The 18,315-nt window shown below is 44.6% G+C and overlaps 2 protein-coding genes across 6 annotated transcripts in view, besides 1 other annotated feature; one reads left to right on the top strand and one right to left on the bottom strand.

The window, feature by feature from the left end:
• Positions 1-4,704, bottom strand: part of GPLD1 (glycosylphosphatidylinositol specific phospholipase D1) — a 71,319-nt gene extending 66,615 nt beyond the window's left edge. For all 3 annotated transcript variants that reach the window (XR_007059240.1, XM_017010753.3, XM_047418658.1), the window contains exon 1: positions 4,384-4,704. Coding sequence is in view for 2 of the 3 variants with exons in the window: in XM_017010753.3 (XP_016866242.1) it covers positions 4,384-4,427 (44 nt within the window). In the remaining variant the exon portion in view is untranslated. The remainder of the gene's footprint in view (positions 1-4,383) is intronic.
• The window catches only part of ALDH5A1 (aldehyde dehydrogenase 5 family member A1), a 42,239-nt gene continuing 28,309 nt past the window's right edge, over positions 4,386-18,315 (top strand). For all 3 annotated transcript variants that reach the window (NM_170740.1, NM_001080.3, NM_001368954.1), the window contains exons 1-4: positions 4,386-4,767; positions 11,940-12,023; positions 12,680-12,850; positions 14,286-14,402. In NM_170740.1, the coding sequence (NP_733936.1) occupies positions 4,414-4,767; positions 11,940-12,023; positions 12,680-12,850; positions 14,286-14,402 (726 nt within the window). In that variant the 5' untranslated portion in view covers positions 4,386-4,413. The remainder of the gene's footprint in view (positions 4,768-11,939; positions 12,024-12,679; positions 12,851-14,285; positions 14,403-18,315) is intronic.
• Positions 4,392-4,781: a silencer, noted in NCBI's record as "silent region_16989". NCBI's record gives its function as "represses an Ori minimal core promoter by ATAC-STARR-seq in GM12878 lymphoblastoid cells {active_cell/tissue: GM12878}" and the evidence as "EXISTENCE:reporter gene assay evidence [ECO:0000049][PMID:35858748]".

The raw sequence follows: 18,315 nt of genomic DNA on the forward strand, positions 1-18,315 counted from the left end.
TCTACTAAAAATACAAAAATTAGCCAGGTGTGGTGGCACGTGACTGTAGTCCCAGCTACTGGGGAGGCTGAGGTGGGAGGATCTCTTGAACCCAGGAGGTGGAGATTGCGGTGAGCCGAGATTGCACCACTGCACTCTAGCCTGGGTGACAGAGCAAGACCCTGTCTCAAAAAAAAAAAAAGAAAAGAAAAAAAGAAAGTGGAATGATTTGACAACAGTTGTCGCCCCAACAGTTTCCCCTGTAAGCTTAACACAGCCATGTGCACAGCCCCAAGGAAAGAAATCCCGCAGCTACCCCCAGACCTGAGGGGCAGTAGGCCCAGCTACTCCTGATTAGTCCAGAGGCCATATGCCTACGTGTTTTGTTTGGCTAACAGGATGTTTTATAAACTTAAATCAAGTTTATGAACTTTTTCTAAATGAGAAAATTCACGTAGAAATCTAGATTTCTGGCTCTCTTAAAAACAAAAGAACTGGCATCATGAACTGACGCTCCCATGTGACACGACAACCAGCTGCAGCCAAAGAGCCAGCTGCCCCCTGATAGAGCATGTCCTGCTCCTCCAGTCCCCACCATCCATGCAATGTGTGCAGGTTTCCACACCCCTTCTGGCCACCAGAGGCCTTTGAGTTTGCCTCCCTGTCACTCTGGGCCTTCTACAGACTGTGCGTGAGGGAGTCACAATTATTAATTGGGACTTTGGATATTGTCTCTCAGAACATCCAAGAGCAGTCAATCAATGGTTACAGGGGAAAAAAATACTGCTAGAAAAGATATCTAACCATATATAATACAACAAACCCATCCAAAAAGCACCAAAGAAATGGGTTCAGAACAGGTGTGGTGGCTCACGCCTATAATCCCAGCACTTTAGGAGGCCAAGGCGGGCAGATGGCTTGAGGCCAGGAGTTCAAAACCAGCCTGTGCAACATGGCAAAATCCCGTCTCTACCAAGAAAAAAACAAAAACAAAAATTAGCCGGGCATGGTGGCATGCACTTATGGTCCAAGCTACTCAGGAGGCTGAGGCGGGAACATCGCCTGTACCTGGGAAGTGAAGGTTGCAGTGAGCTGAGATCACACCACTGCACTCCAGCCTGGGCAAGACCCCACCTCAAAAAAAAAAAAGGAATGGGTTCAGTTACCAAACAATACTAATCCCAAATGTCTCAATTTCTCATTATGCATTTTTTTGTATTTGAGATTCAGAATGACATAAACGTATAAATGTAATAAAATAAGAGGAAATTATTTGCTTAGTGTGATAGTTATGAATATGGTCTTTATATGACAATATTGCTTGCAGTTTTATGAAGTTTGTATTACTTTGGTAACAATAAAAACATCAAAGATATGACTTTAAAGAAAGTTAAAACGTAGCTCACAATATTACTATCTGACAAATAATAAGCATATGGAAATATTTTTCTTTCTGCCCCACACCCCCCTTTCCTAATATAGGTGGCTTTGTTATAAACAAGACAGCATGATTCTACCATTTAGAACTCTTCTGGAAATAGAGACCCAAGGTGAAAAGTAAACATACAGTTACATTAAGGAGTGAGTAGGGAGAATACAGGTTTGAAAGCCAGAGGGTCTCAAGCTTTATGTGGGCCAGTCTAGAAAATGGGGGAGAAGAGGCTGGGCACAGTGTCTCATGCCTGTAATCCCAGCACTTTGGGAGGCCGAGGTGGGCAGATCACCTGAGGTCAGGAGTTCAAGACCAGCCTGGCCAACATGGTGAAACCCCATCTCTACTAAACAATACAAAAATTAGCCAGGCATGGTGGCGCGCACCTGTACTCCCAGCTACTCTGGAGGCTGAGGCAGGAGAATCACTTGAACCCAGGAGGCAGACGTTGCAATGAGCTGAGATCGTGCCATTGCACTCCAGCCTGGGCGACAGAGTAAGACCCTGACTCAAAAAAAAAAAAAAAAAAAAAAGTGAAAGAAAAAAAAGAAAAAGAAAATGGGGGAGAGGATGAATAAGGGTGGGAACTGGGGAGTGGAGGTTCCCAGGACAAGGGCAGCCAAAGGAGAAAGGAGGGAAGAGGTCCCTCTCACCTGATGGTCTTGTCCTTGTAGGCCCTGGTAAGGACAGACACCCAGCCAGGCGCTAGGGGGCATCAGGACAGGCTGGAAGTAAGACAGGAGCCAGGAGGAAATTGTTTACACTCTGAATGGGGGCTTGAAGAGGGGCACAAAACTGAGGGAAAAGGGGAGGGCCACATTGTGAACTTTCTAAGCTCCAGGCGCTTTTGCCTTTGTGAAGTACTTCCTGTCACAAAAATAAGTAAACAATAAATAGAAATCACATTTTACATCTGCATTGGTGTAAGATTAACATATTAATATGCCACCTAAAACTTCTTTTCTTCAGATTTTAGAATAAATTAAACATTTGTGAGTGCTCCTAAAAGTTTTATGGGCCCTTGGCATCGTACCTACTGTGCGTAATGGATAAGTCATCTGGGAAAGGGAGTGGGTACCGTTTGAAATAGAACCTTAAAAAGGTAAGTGGGCTAGGGTAATTTTTGAACAAGAGAGGCAGCCACAATTAACTTGGCTTTTCTGGGCCTCAGTTGATTGAGGCCTCAATTGAATGATTTCCCCAGGCCAGTAGAAATGAGCCCTGTAATCCCAGCACTTTGGGAGGCCAAGGAGGGCGGATAACTTGAGGTCAGGCATTCAAGACCAGCCTGGCCAACACGGTGAAAACCTGTCTCTACTAAAAATACAAAAATTAGCTGGGCTTGGTGGCACACACCTGTAGCCCCATCTACTCGGGAGGCTGAGGCAGGAGAATCGCTTGAACCCGGGAGGCGGAAGTTGCAGGGAGCTGAAATCGCACCACTGCACTCCACCCTGGGTGACAGAATGAGTCTGTCGGTCTCACAAGAACAAAACAAACAAAAAACAAAAACCACCACCAAAAACAAAACAAAACAAAAACAAAAACTCCCTCCGCAGGCAGGAGATGTAAACACGCCAGCTCCCCAGCCCCACCTGTGATACCTACTGGCCCACATCCCTATTAGGACTCCCTGGTTCTCCCCAGTTCCTGCAATAAAATACAGAGCAAAATAGTGTGAAATTGATTAAACTCTACTGTTATCACTTCTGCCATATGTGACTGGCTCAAAACTCAATGGATCTGACTCAGCAAAAGACAAAGTCAAAATTTAAAGTTACTGCCTCGGCATTTTGCAAATGTCCTAGAAAAAAATTCAACGTCCTAGAAAAAGGTGAAAGCTAGCAAGATACTCTCAACGCTGTAGGAGTTGAGAAAGGGAGATATGTAACCTAAAATCAATGCATAGGGCTGGGCTTCATTTGCACCCACAAATTCCCAGCATACGCCTGCTATTTTTATTTTTATCCTCATTAGGTTTTAAGCTTCCCTGCTGCTTTCAGAGTCTTAAGCCCAAGTCTAATTTTTTAACGGATGAAGAATGCTGTTTAAAGGTGCTCAAATACCTTGGTTGGATAGTATGCTCAATCCTTATACCTTGGTTGATTCAATTTTGACAAATGCTTCCATTTACTAGTTGGTGACCCAACTTTAATCTTACTAGTGGCTTGACTAGGGTAGCTAGTATGACTTTGAACGCTATATTGAATTTAATGTGGCAACTGTAATGAGCATTTTACGTTATCTCACAACAAAATGGGGTAGATATGGTTCTATTTTATAAGTGACTGGACTAAGGTTAACCTGTCGGTCACACAGCTTGTCGGCAACAGACTTGAGTTTGGATCCTAGTCTGTTTATTTCCAAAGCGCTGTTATTTATCGGGAGCAACCCTAGGAGAATGCCTAGACACACACCCAAAAAAGCAGCCAGGCAGCAGAACGCGGGGTCACACTTCGACCCCTCAGAGAACGATCGCTCCCAATCAATACTACGTGCTCAGGAGCTACAACTGAAGAAGCGTGATCACGGCCTTGGCATTTAGGGCAGGCACCAGCGCATCTATGGACCGCGCACAAATTCCGGGGATGCCGAATTTGGGGGATGCTAAGGGGAGAGAGTGGGTCTCTAGCAGCGATTGGGGGCTCAGGAGCAGTTAGTGACAAATGAGCACCCGAAAAGTGAAAAGGTGACAGCAGTCCGCAGGTGCATCTACTGGCGAGCCTTCTCCATCCCCGAACCCAACCCTCCCCCGGGAGAAGGTCGCGCCAGGAGAGAAGCCGCGCGGCGCTTAGGGCAAGGTGCAGAGGGCGGCGCGGCGGTGCAGCGAGAAAGACGCGGAGAGAGGGCGCTGCTCTGTGGCTCTGCAACCTTCCGCCAGCTCCCACGCTTTCCCCGCGCGTCCCCGGCGCCTCCTCGCTCCTCTTGCTTCCCCGCGACCCCTGCGTTCCCGTGCGCGCGCGCCCGCTTGCCTGTTTCCTGTCGCCGTCGTTGCCCGGGCCATGGCGACCTGCATTTGGCTGCGGAGCTGTGGGGCCCGGCGCCTCGGGTCGACGTTTCCAGGCTGCCGCCTCCGCCCCCGCGCCGGCGGCCTGGTCCCTGCCTCCGGGCCTGCGCCCGGCCCGGCCCAGCTCCGCTGCTACGCTGGGCGCCTGGCGGGCCTCTCTGCGGCGCTGCTGCGCACCGACAGCTTCGTGGGCGGCCGCTGGCTCCCGGCCGCCGCCACCTTCCCCGTGCAAGACCCGGCCAGCGGCGCCGCTCTGGGCATGGTAGCCGACTGCGGGGTGCGAGAGGCCCGCGCCGCCGTGCGCGCTGCCTACGAGGCTTTCTGCCGCTGGAGGGAGGTCTCCGCCAAGGTGAGAGAGCCCGGATGCAGGGGGCCAGAGCTGGCCGGGGACACGGCGGGGAGCAGAGGGGGCTTTACCCCAAAGTGACACCAGCCGCGTCGCCTCCCTCCTGTGCTCAGTTCCCCAGGGTATACAAAGTGGAAAGTCAGAGCAACAAGGGAGACGACCGACAAATAAGTTTGGAGCTTCCACTTTGAGCCGGGCACTAGGGACACGACCCCTGCCCTCAAGCCTCATCAAGTTATGCACTGCCCAGTAGGGGAGGCAGAACGTGAGCGCCTAATACAAGCGAGCTGCTTGTTATGGTCAACAAGCCTAACCGTGGAGGGGCGGGGAGAAAGGGGAGGGGTGTCAGGGAAGTGAGAGCACGTGTGGCCCTTCAGAGTAGCTGAAATATCTCCGCAGCTGCAGGGAGCCCACGCAGGAGGCTGCTTCAGCGGCCCTTGAGAAGGCTGGTAGTGAGGGCCCCTGGCCAGAATCATGGGATCGGAAACGGAGAGAACTGTAGAAAGATTTGGGTTTTGTGCAGGGGAAGAGAGAAATCCAGGAGCGTTCTCCAGGTTTTCACCCTAAATGGATAAATGCTGCTATTGGCCATTGCATAGAGAACACTGGAGAATTGGGAGTAAGGGGTGGAGGGCCATTAAATGGGAAGAATAGAGTAAGAAGAAAACTAAGAAAGTAGTTTCTTCCTTCTAATATTATATTATTAAACCTGGAGTCAACGCAGTGAAATTTTTTACCGTGTCCTTCAAAGCTCTCCCTCTGAAGGAATGCATCCAGCGATCCCTACGAGTACAAGAGAGTCTTAGCACTCATTCATCCATCAGCTGTTTACTGAGCACCTGCTGTATGCCCTGCACTGTTGGAGGTGCTTGGGATACCTCAGTTAAACGAAAGAAGGATTCTGCCCTTATGGAGCTCACATGGGGTGGAAGGGGAGCAGAAGAGAGATCAGAACTCTAAACAACAAACATAATATCTAAGCAAATAAGTATGTGAGAGATGCTGAGTGCAATATGGAAAAAAGGTAGAAGCAGGAGAGGATCCGGGCCAGAGGGAAGGGGCAAGATGCAGCATCAACAGTGTGACCAGGCATATTCCTCTGCTAGGGCTGCCATAGCAAAGTACCACAGACTGGGTGGCCTGAACAACAGACATTTCTCATTTTACCGCTCTGGAGGGTAGAAATCCCAGATCGAGGTGTTGTCAGAGTTGGTTTCTTCTAAGGCCTCTCATTGGCTTGCAGAGAGCTCAGCTTTTGTCTTTGTATCTCATCAGACCTCAATTTTAGACTCATGGAGTCTGAGATGTCTGTTCACGCCCAAGTGAGGATGTAAAGTAAGCAGTTGGTTATATGAATGAATCTTCCCTGTGTGTCTCCACATGGTCTTTCCTCTGTGTGTATATGTGTCCTAATCTCTTCTTCTTTTAAAAACAGGAGTCAGATTGGATTGGGGCCCACCAGAATGACCTCATCATAACTTAATTCCCTTTTTAAAGACCCTATTTCCAAATGCACTCACATTCTGAGATACTGGGGGGTTAGGACTTCGACATGTCAATTTTGCCAGGAGCACCATTCAGCCCGTAACATCAGGGTAGGTCTCATTGAGGACATGAGATACAAAGACCAAAGGAGGTAAGTGTGTCCGGAGTTGGTTCCTGCCGGTAGGTTTGTGGCCTCGCTGACTTCAAAAATGGAGCCGCGGACCTTTGCAGTGAGTGTTACAGCTCTTAAAGATGGCATGGACCCAAAGAATGAGTGGTAGCAACATTTATTGTGAAGAGCAAAAGAAGAAAGCTTCCACAGCGCGGAAGGGGACCCGAGTGGGTTGTCGCTGCTGGGTGGGTGGGGCGTGGTGGCCAGCTTTTTATTCCCTTATTTATCCCTTCCAGTGTTCCGTTTCTGTCCCATCAGAATGCCTTTTTTTCAATCCTCCCTGCGATTGGCTACTTTTAGGATCCTGCTGATTGGTGCGTTTTACAGAGCGCTGATTGGTGCATTTTACAGAGCGTTGATTGGTGTATTTTACAATCCTCTTGCTAGCTACAGAGCGCTGATTGGTGTGTTTTTTACAGAGCACTGATTGGTGCATTTTACAATCTCCTTGGTAGCTCCAGATCGCTGATTGGTGCATTTTACAATCCTCTTGCTAGCTACAGGGTGCTGATTGGTGTGTTTTACAGGGCGCTGGTTGGTGCATTTTACAATCCTCTTGTAAGACAGAAAAGTTCTCCAAGTCCCCACTCGACCCAGGAAGTCCAGCTGGCTTCACCTCTCATAAGGACATTCAGCTAGAGCCAAAGTAGAAGCATGGCTGACACATTTGCAGAACAGCAAGGAGGCCCGTGTGGACTGAGCAAAGGGGAAGAGTTGTATCAGAGGAGGTCATAGGGAGAAGGGGAAGAGTGGGTGGAACATGTAGGACCTGTGAGTTATTCTAAGGACTTGGTTTTTACTTTGAGTAAAGAGGGGGCTGTGTCAGGGTTTTAAGCAGAGATATGATCTGATTTACATTTTGAAAGGCCACTCTAACCACAGTGCTGAGAATAGATGAAGAGTGGTGGAAGCAGAGAGACAGGTTAGGAGGTTGTTGCACGGATTTAGGTGGGAGGCCACGGTGGCTTGAACCAGGGTGGTAGCAGTGGACAAGGTGAAGAGTTATCCCATAAAGGATGTATTTTGAAGGTAGAGCCCACTGGATTTTCTGATGGATCATTATATAGAAAGTAGGTGAAGGAGAGGGGTTAGTGATGACTCCAGGGCTTTTGGCCTGAGCAATTGGAAGGATGAGGATAGCTGAATTGAACAGCATTAGGGTGAGATATCAAGAGTTCAGTTTTAGACTTATTGAGTTTGAGATGTCGGTTCACACCCAAGAGAGGATGTAAAGTAAGCAGTTGGGTGTATGAGTCTGAGGTTTGAGAGCGAACCCTAGGCTAGAAATATAAATGTGAAATTCATACCTGTGTGTACTGCATACATACTTACAGCTATGGAAATGGTGAGATCACAGGAAAGGAGTGGACCAGGGCCTGAGCCCTGGTTCCCCTAGCATCATTCTGGAGTCCCACAAGGCCCCACGAAGATCAAGGCTGCCATACAATGGTGTTACACTGCAGGGGTCTGGAAAGCCTTCTAGTCTGTCAGTGATTGTTTGGCAGCTGCAGGGCGGGTGTTGGGACCTCTTGCTGACACTAGCAGCATTATCCTGTGTTCAGATCACACCGCCCATCCTAATGTCTGTGCCCCTTGAACATTACAGTGATGTCAGCTTCCATCTTACAAGGGCTAGGATCTTCTCAGGGAACCTTCCTTTTTGAAAGGAGGGGTTCAGGCTGGGCACGGTGGCTAACGCCTGTAATCCCAGCACTTTGGGAGGCCAAGGCGAGTGGATCACCTGAGGTCAGGAGTTCGAGACCAGCCTGTCCAACATGGTGAAACACTGTCTCTACTAAAAATACAAAAATTGGCCAGACACGGTGGCTCACACTTGTAATCCCAGCACTTTGGGAGGCTAAGGCAGGTGGATCACTTGAGGTCAGGAGTTCAAGTCCAGCCTGGCCAACATGGCGAAACCCCATCTCTACTAAAAAATACAAAAATCAGCTGGGCGTGGTGGTGGGCGCCTGTAATCCCAGCTACTCAGGAGGCTGAGCCAAGGAGAATTGCTTGAACCTGGGAGGCGGAGGTTGCAGTGAGCCGAGATCATGCCAACTGCACTCCAGCCTGGTGGACAGAGCAAGACTCTGTCTCAAAAAAAAAAAAAAAAAAGAAAAAATACAAAAATTAGCCAGGCATTGTGGCATGCACCTGTATGTAATCCCAGCTACTCAAGAGGCTGAGGCATGAGAATTGCTTGAGCCCAGGAGGCGGAGGTTGGTTGCAGTGAGCCGAGATGGCGCCACTGTACTCCAGCCTGGGTGACAGAGCGAGACTGTCTCAAAAAACAAAAATGAAGGTTTTTCTTGGCTTTGAATACACCTGTGCAGATGTGGGAAGCTACAGCCTGAGCAGCGCTCTCTTTAGAGTGCCTTGATGGCAGCCCAGGTGGCCTAGATTCTCTAGGCCTTCCTCATTTTCTTTTTTTAAGTGGTTTTATGTGAATGAATTAATTTTTTTTTTAATAAGCCATTTCTTCCTTTTTTCTTTTCTTTTTTTTCTGAGACAGGGTCTTGCTCCATTGCCTAGGCTGGAGTACAGTGATGCTATCATTGGCTCACTGCAGCCTCAAACTCATAGGCCTAAGCGATTCCCCCACCTCAGCCTTCTGAGTAGCTGGGACCACAAGCATGCACCACCACACCCAGATAATTTCTTTTCTTTTTTTTTTTTTTTTGAGACGGAGTCTCGCTCTGTCACCCGGGCTGGAGTGCAGTGGCGCAGTCTCGGCTCAACTGCAACCTCCGCCTCCTAGGTTCTCCTGCCTCAGCCTCCCGAGTAGCTGGGACTACAGGCGCCTGCCACCATGCCCGGGTAATTTTTTTGTATTTTTAGTAGAGACGGGGTTTCACCGTGTTAGCCAGGATGGTCTGGATCTCATGACCTCATGATCCGCCCGCCTCGGCCTCCCGAAGTGCTGGGATTACAGGCACGAGCCACTGCGCCCAGCCCCACACTCAGATAATTTCTGTGTGTGTGTGTGTAGAGACAGATCTCACCGCATTGCCCAAGCTGGTGTTGAACTCCTGGCCACAAGCAACCCTCCCTCCTTGGCCTTCCAAAGTGTTGTGATTACGGGCATGAGCCGCCACACCTGGTCCCATAATATTGTTAATAATCCAATGTATCCCTTTATCTGTTTTTTGTTCATTGGAATTTTTTAAATTATGGCAAAATATGCATAACATAACATTTACCATTTTAACCATTTTTAAGTGTACATTTCAGTGGTATTAAGTGCATTCATGTTGTTGTGCCTGGGCCCTCTTCTTAAGTGTGTAAAACCCTTTCTTATGCCTCATGCATGCCCCAGTCCATATGTCAGTCTCTGGGACAAATCCAGGTTGCCAGTGAGCCACTATAATAGGGAACAATACTTGAAGACACTATGCTGAGTGAAATAAGCCAGTCACAAAAGGGCAAATGCTGTATGATTCTACTTAATATGAGGTACCTAGAGTTGTCAGATTCATAGAGACAGAAAGTAGAATGGTCCAGGCATGGTGGCTCATGATTGTAATCTCAGCACTTTGGGAGGCCAAGGCAGGAGGATCGCTTAAAGCCAGGAGTCTGAGGTTGCAGTGAGCTATGATTGCGCCACTGCACTCCAGCCTGGGCATCAGATCAAGACCGTATCTAAAATAATAATAATAATAATAATAATAATAATAATAACGTAGGGAACTATATACCTTTGTATGGTAAAATTAAAGTTGTTCTTATTTACCATAAGCAATAATAGCTGTTTCCACAAAACTTATTTTATCTTTTATAATTTATGACGCAGTATACCTCTTTAGATGCAACTTGAAATTGGATCTCTATTACTCATCAAAGAAGGGTCAGTTAGCATGAGCAATATAGTGAGACCTTGTCTGTACAAAAAAAATTTTTTTTTAATTAGCTGAGCATGATCATCCTGTAGATCCTGTTAGCATGAAAAGTCTGTATGGCATGACAACAACGACTTTAAGGGGAAGATAAGATTTCTTTCTACTTCTAAGTGATGCTGTGATACCTTAAGCACTAAGGCAGAGCTAGTAATGCTTTTTTAGTTTCACAGATCAAAGTAATCTTATTTTAACAGATCAAGGTAAAATGCTTATTTTAACAGATCAAGGTAATCGTTGTAAGATGTATATAACATGATGTTAACTTGGTAGTCTAAGTGTTTAGCTATCAAGCCGGATTCCTTAGTAGACCAAATCTTGTTATCGAAGTGTTCTTGAGCTATACCCTTGATGTTTAGAAAAAAAGTATTTGTTACCTCTTGTAGGGTCTGCTTTTTGAACTTTTCTTCCCCTGTAGTTGCCAATTCTGCATGTACTAGTCCTCTAGAAATAGGTTAAACTGAATCAACTTGATGGAAGGAACTCTCCACAGGGCTTGTTTTCCAAAGAAAAGTATAGTTTGGAGAAGCAAAGTTACAAGCCTACCTAAGCATATCATAAAGCTGTTCAGAAATAACTCAGAGCCAGTCTCGTGGATGGAAATGTAGTGCCTGAGTCACATTCTGCTTAAAGTTGTAACAGACACAGAGGAGTTAAAAAAATAGCTGAGCGTGATGATGTGTGCCTGTGGTCCCAGCTACTCAGTAGTAGGCTGAGCTGGGGGGATCACTTGAACCAAGGAAGCAGAGGTTGCAGTGAGGTATGATCACACCACTGCACTTCAGCCTGGGTGACAGAACAAAACCCTGTCTCTTTTTTAAAATTTTTTTAAATTTTTGATTTTTTTTATTTGTGTGCTTTTCATTGTCCAAACCCAGACCCTGTCTCAAAAACAAACAATCAAAAAACACAGAAGTTCAATGTATGTTTCCCCAAGCATCTTACTCAGGGTTGTCCAGAAAAATAGAACCAATGTTTTATATATATATATATATATATGTGTGTGTGTGTGTGTGGGTGTATATATATATGTGTGTGTGTGTATATATATATGTGTATGTGTGTATATATATAATCATAGATATGTAGGAATATAGGAAGAGACTTCTTATAAAGGACTGGCTCATGTGACTGTGGATGCTAAGAAGTCCCACCCTCTGCTGTCTGCAAGCTGGAGACCTAAGAAAGCTGATATGTCCAGTCTGAGTTCCAGACTGGGTCCAAAGTCCTGAGTACCAGGAATGACAATGTCTGGTGTCTGACAACAGGAGGAAATGGATGTCCTAGCTCATGCAGAGAGTGAATTTGCTCTTCCTCTGCCACTTTGTTCTTTTCAGGTTCTCAGCAGATTGGATGATACCCACCTGAATTTTTGAAGGCAAATCTTCTTTATTCAGTCTACTGATTCAAATGCTAATCTCTTCCGAAAACACTCACGGACATACCCAGAAATGATGTTTTACCAGCTATCTGGGTCTCCCAGTCAAATTTACACATAAAATTAACCATTACAACCAAGGAGAATGAGACCATACAGCTAATATTTTAGGATATTGAATTTTATTTAGCATTCTGTCTTACACTTGGCATTTTATTACTTTTCTGCCTTGTTATTTCTTTTGCAGGAGAGGAGTTCATTACTTCGGAAGTGGTACAATTTAATGATACAAAATAAGGATGACCTTGCCAGAATAATCACAGCTGAAAGTGTAAGTTCAGGGTTCTGGCTTGGTGCACTGAGAAATTCTCCAGGAATTTTTACACTAAACTTGGGAAAGCCGCTGACTTCCCTTCACTGCTGGCTGTAGCTGAAGAATATGTGATTCCTTCTCTACTGATCAAATACCAAATCATTATTGTGCCAGGGTACTTAGATTTGCTAAAATAATATTTGTATGTTCTAGTTTATTCTTTAATAGTATCCAAAAATAGATTTTGTTTGCAACTATATGAATAACTGCTGTTTCACCATTCTGATTTTTTTCCATGTTACTGTTTTGGTTGTTTTTTTTTTTAAACTTGTTTTTGTACATTTTTTAATGTACCAATACTTCTTCCATAGATATAATAAATTATTTCATATCGTGGTTACAATACTTAGAAGATATTGAAAGGAGGAAAAAATTAGATGTTTCCTAATTTGTAAACATATTGAGAATGCAATGACTTGTGGTTTAGGGTGATACATTCATCATTGTAATTCTGCTTTTTAAAACTCACACCAAAGTCAGAAATTTTCCCCACTCTATGGGTATCGTTATAGGAGACTTTTCTACTCTTGTTGCATCTTGAAGAATTTAGGAACACAGAGCCATGCTTTTATTATTAGAAGGTAATACGTGGGTTCTTTTCTGATTTAATTTAGGGAAAGCCACTGAAGGAGGCACATGGAGAAATTCTCTATTCCGCCTTTTTCCTAGAGTGGTTCTCTGAGGAAGCCCGCCGTGTTTACGGAGACATTATCCACACCCCGGCAAAGGACAGGCGGGCCCTGGTCCTCAAGCAGCCCATAGGCGTGGCTGCAGTCATCACCCCGGTAGGTGACAGGATCAGCAAGATCCTAGGGTGGGAGATTGGATAGGGAGTTGGGAAACAATTCATTCTTCCTCGTGAGCAGGTGTGCTCATCCTGTTAGTTTTGTCACCTGTTCCTGGTTTCCTGATGCTTTTGCTGGATGTGGAAGTGTGTTTCCTAGTCCTCTGTGATGATGTTAGGTGTGGTGGCAGTGAGTGGAATGATGCATTTCTAATGCCTGCAAAAGTGGGATGAGCCGCAGGAGGACCCAGGGGCTCTTCTGACTTGGCATGGAGGCTTCTTCCTGGCATTGCCTAGCACCTCTGAAAAGATCTTCCAGTATTTATCATTTTTAAAAAGACTTAAGATATGATACATTTTTAAACTTGCCATAGTTTGGAAAAAAGTGTTATGCTTAATTGATGGTTATCATCAATAACAAAGCATTTGTGGACCCACTAGCAGGCACTGGGCCAGGTTCTAGAGGTAAAAAGGCTAAGAAATAAGGTATCACATCTGCCTGGATGGGGCTGCAGTATATTTGTGGAACGCCCAGCTTTCCTTCTGGGTCCTGCCTTCTACTAGGTCCCATATTAACCTCTCTCCTGTATCTGTCAGCTGGTCTCGAGACGTCTGTGTTTTTCCTGCTCAGCATAGTTACAGACAGAATCCCCCTGATTGCCTAGACTGGCTAGGTTTGACTTGAAGGTCACTATTTACTAAATGTGCAACCTTGGCCAAATTACTTAACTGCACTGTCTCCGTTTTCTTGAACTTGCAAATGAGGTTAATATCAACCTCATTGGGTTGTGATAAGGATTTAATTAATTTTAATTTTGAAGTACTTAGAAAAATACCTGATACAGAGTAAGTACTATATAATAGAGTTTTTCAAAATAAAATAAAATACTGTTATTATAGGTATATGTATAGGCATTTATAAATATGTATGTGGAAGGAATAATAAATCATCTGCCATTTTCAAAACCATTGCTAATACTTACTCCCATGGGCCTCAGGCCAAATCCAGCCCACTGCCTATGTTTGTAAATAAAGTTTTATTGGGACACAGCCACACCCATTCATACACCTACTATCTGTGGCTGTTTTCACAATACAGCTGCAGAGTTGAGTAATTGCCATAGAAACCATACATTCTACAAAGCCTAAAAAATTTACGATCTGGCCCTTCACAGAAAAAGTTGGCTGACCCCTGGTCTAACTAATTTTTTACTGTGTTAAATTCTAAAAATATTTCCTGTCTTCAAGAGCCTTTATCTCAGAGTCCCTCAAGTTGGCGGGGGGGTCAGGTGTTCTGAGAGCTCACCTGTGCAGCCAAACGGGTTTGTCAATCAGTTGTGCAATGAAATTTGTTCACTGACTTCCCAACATGCCTTCCTTTGCACTAAGGAGGTGGTCCTTCCTCTCACATACTTCCTCTGCTCTTCTAACCCCAGTGGAATTTCCCCAGTGCCATGATCACCCGGAAGGTGGGGGCCGCCCTGGCAGCCGGCTGTACTGTCGTGGTGAAGCCTGCCGAAGACACGCCCTTCTCCGCCCTGGCCCTGGCTGAGGTGAGCCGCTCTCCCTGTGTTTGTACAAAGCAGACAAAGTTCAAAAATTGATGTTTATCTGGGACAGAAAGAAGCAATTTTGGAGCCTACTTCTTTGCTTACGCCTCCTGATGCATGGTGTTGTGTATTAATCTACTGGTGATTACTTTAAGTCAGCTGTAGCTCTTTTGGGAAAAAAATGGATGAGGGATCTTCTGACATCTGCAGGCCATATGTTTTCAGCCTACTGTAAAATGGTATCTATCCATCATCTTCATAAACTAGGCACTTAAACATGGGTGTTTCTCACATTTAGGAAACTTCTTATTTCCCATTCCCATTCCCAGTTCAATCTGCATTCCATTAGATCTTATTCTTTTGTTTGAAAACCTCAAGTGGCCTCTTGTGTCACTCACTCAGAGTAAAGTCCAGATTCCTTAGTGGCTTTCAAGGTCCTATGTCACTTCCCACCCCCCCAGTATGTCTCTGACTTCGTCCATCACACTGGAACCCCTCACTCTTCATTCATCTGCTTGGACCACTCTGGCCCCTGCCGCTTTCCAGACCCCGCCAGCCTTGCCCTCCACTCAAACTTTATACTTTCCCTCTGTCTGGAGCAGTCTCCCCCAGATACCCCTATAACTTGCTTCTTCACGTCTTCACTCAAATTCCTCTCTCCCAGGGAGGCCTTCCATGGCCACCCTGTCTAAAAATCACAATTTGGCTGGGCGTGGTGGCTCACACTTGTAATCTCAGAACTATGGGAGGCCAAGGTGGGCAAATCACTTGAGGTCAGGAGTTCGAGACCAGCCTGACCAACATGCTGAAACCCTGTCTCTACTAAAAATACAAAATTAGCTGGGCGTGGTGGCATGTGCATGTAATCCCAGCTACTCAAGAGGCTGAGGCAGGAGAATCGCTTGAACCCTGGGGGCGGAGATTGCAGTGAGCCGAGATGGTGTCACTGAACTCCAGCCTGGGCAACAGAGTGAGACTCAGTCTCAAAAAAAAAAATCACAACCTCACACTCTGATCCTCCTGATCCCCTCCTCTGCTTTGCTTTTTCCCCCAGAACACCTAAAACTACCTACCCTATCACTATTTGTAGGCCTTTTCAGTGGGCAGGGCTAGGAGATATACATATATGTGTACACATGTGTACACACACAATAAAATGCTGCAGAAATTCCTATAGAAACTTCGAATTCAAATTCAGTCCTATAGAGTTTTTACTTAATTTATTTTATATTATATCTGCACCTCCTTCTTTCCTGGTTCCTTTTTTTTTTTTTTTTTTTTTTTTTTTTTTGAGACAGTCTCGCTCTGTCACCCAGGCTGGAGTGCAGGGTCGCAATCTTGGCTCACTGCAACCTCTGCCTCCCAGGTTCAAGCAATTTTCTGCCTCAGCCTCCCGAGTAGCTGGGATTACAGATGCCCGTCACCACACCCAGCTAATTTTTGTATTTTTTGGAGAGACTGGGTTTCACCATCTTGGCCAGACTGGTCTTGAACTCCTGACCTCGTGATCCACCCGCCTCGGCCTCCCAAAGTGCTGGGATTACAGGCATGAGCCACCACGCTCGGCCTCTTTCCTGGTTTCTAAAGACTCAGGAAATGACTGAATTAATATTCTGTATGTACTCATTATACAGAACAACAGCTTCTGAATATCAATTTTATTTGTTTTAAATATTAATTTTAATATCACCAATGTGCCTATTGAAAATGGTTTACTTTTTTGGTATTTTCTCTTTCCATTCTCATTTTTAGTAATAAACTTTTATTTTAGAATAGTTTTACATTTACAGAAAAATTGCATAGATGGGCTATTTCCCACATACCCCACATTCAATTTCTCCTATTACTAGCAGCTTACATTAGTATATTTGTTACAATTAATGAATCAATAGTGATACGTTGTTATTAACTAAAGTCCATACTTTAAAATCCATTCTCAGATTTTATTAGTCTGTACCTAGTCTCCTTTTTCTGTTTCAGGATCTGGTCCAGGATATCCCATTACATTTAGTTGCCTTGTCTCCTTAATCCCTCTTGGCTATGAACATTTGTCTGTATTTTAAAATAGTTATACTGTATCTGTGTTGCCAAAACTACAACCATTACATGCTCTACTCTCTCCAGTTTAACCCTCCTTTAGACTTAGTTGAACAAGCAGTTGTATGTTTATGCTTACCACCAGTGCTTATGTTAATGTCTCTCTGGACATTTGGTGATCCGAACCTCAGTCTGTAGTAGATTCCTTAGGAATATTTTCCCTTCTTAAATGTTGACAGTAGTCTGGGCCTATCGTGCTTATAAATCAGTTTTGCTAGGTATAAAATCCTTGGCTCACATTTTTTTTTTTTTACTTGATTATCTTAAATGTATTCTCTATTTTCTTCTGATATAAAGCATTGCTCTTGAAAATTCAGATGGTAACCTAAGTTTCTTGCCCTTATAAGTCAACTTTTTTTTTTACCTAGATACACAAAAGTGTTTGGTTTGGTTTTTTTCCCCCTTTATCTTTAAAGACCAATAATGTCACTAGAATATGTCTTTGTGATGATTGCTTTGAGTCCATACTCTAGGTATGCAGTGTGCTCTTTCAGTATGTAGTTTCCAGACTTTTTGTTTTATATCTCTATAAAGTTTTCAGGATTTGTTCCTCACCATTGGTTTGGTTTTACTCCCTTAGGAACTCCTGATATCCATGAGTTGAATCTTTTTTGTCACTTTCTCTTGTATCTTTTTCATCTTTTCCCTAATTTTTAAAATTATCTTTTATTTCTGGGTGTAAAATGTCTGATTTTATTTTTATTTTTTAATTTTTATTTCCATAGGTTATTGGGGAACAGGTGGTATTTGGTTACATGATTAAGTTCTTTAGTGGTGATTTGTGAGATTTTGGTGCATCCATCACCTGAGCAGTATATACTGCACACAATTTGTAGTCTTTTATCCCTTGCCCCCTTCCTACCCTTTCTCCCTGAGTCCCCAAAGTCCACTGTGTCATTCTTATGCCTTTGCTTCCTCACAGCTTAGCTCCCACTTATGAGTGAGAACATATGATGTTTAGTTTTCCATTCCTGAGTTACTTAACTTAGAATAATACTCTCCAGGCCAGGCGCGGTGGCTCACGCCTGTAATCCCAGCACTTTGAGAGGCTGAGGCGGGCAGATCACAAGCTCAAGAGATTGAGACCATCCTGGCCAACATAGTGAAACCCCGTCTCTACTAAAAATACAAAAATTAGCTGGGCATGGTGGCACGCACCTGTAGTCCCTGCTACTTGGGAGGCTGAGGCAGGAGAATCACTTGGACTGAGAGGCAGAGGTTGCAGTGAGCCAAGATCATGCCACCGTACTCCAGCCAGGTGACAGAGCAAGACTCCATCTCCAAAAAAAAAAAAAAAAAAAAAAAAAAAGATTAATAGTCTCTAATCCTCTAATCTCATCCAGCCCACTGCAAATGCCATTAATTCATTCCTTTTTATGGCTGAGTAGTATTCCATCCTATGTATAAACCACATAGGATACAGTTTATCCACTTGTTGATTGATGGGCATTTGGGTTTGTTCCATGCTTTTGCAATTGTGAATTGTGCTGCTATAAACGTGCATGTGCAAGTATCTTTTCTGTATAATGACTTCTTTTCCTCTGGGTAGATACCCAGTAGTGGGGTTGCTGGATCAAATGGTAGTTCTACTTTTAGTTCTCTAAGGAATCTCCACACTGTTTTCCATAGTGGTTGTACTAGTTTACATTCCCACCAGCAATGTAGAAATGTTCCCTGTTCACCACATCCACACTGACATCTATTATTTTTTAATTTTTTTACTATGACCAACCTTGCAGGAGTAAGGTGGTATTGCATTGTGGTTTTGATTTGCATTTCCTTGATCATTAGTGATGTTGAGCATTTTTTCATATGTTTG

Source organism: Homo sapiens, chromosome 6 (genome assembly GCF_000001405.40).
Source record: "Homo sapiens chromosome 6, GRCh38.p14 Primary Assembly".
Lineage (NCBI taxonomy): Eukaryota > Metazoa > Chordata > Mammalia > Primates > Hominidae > Homo > Homo sapiens.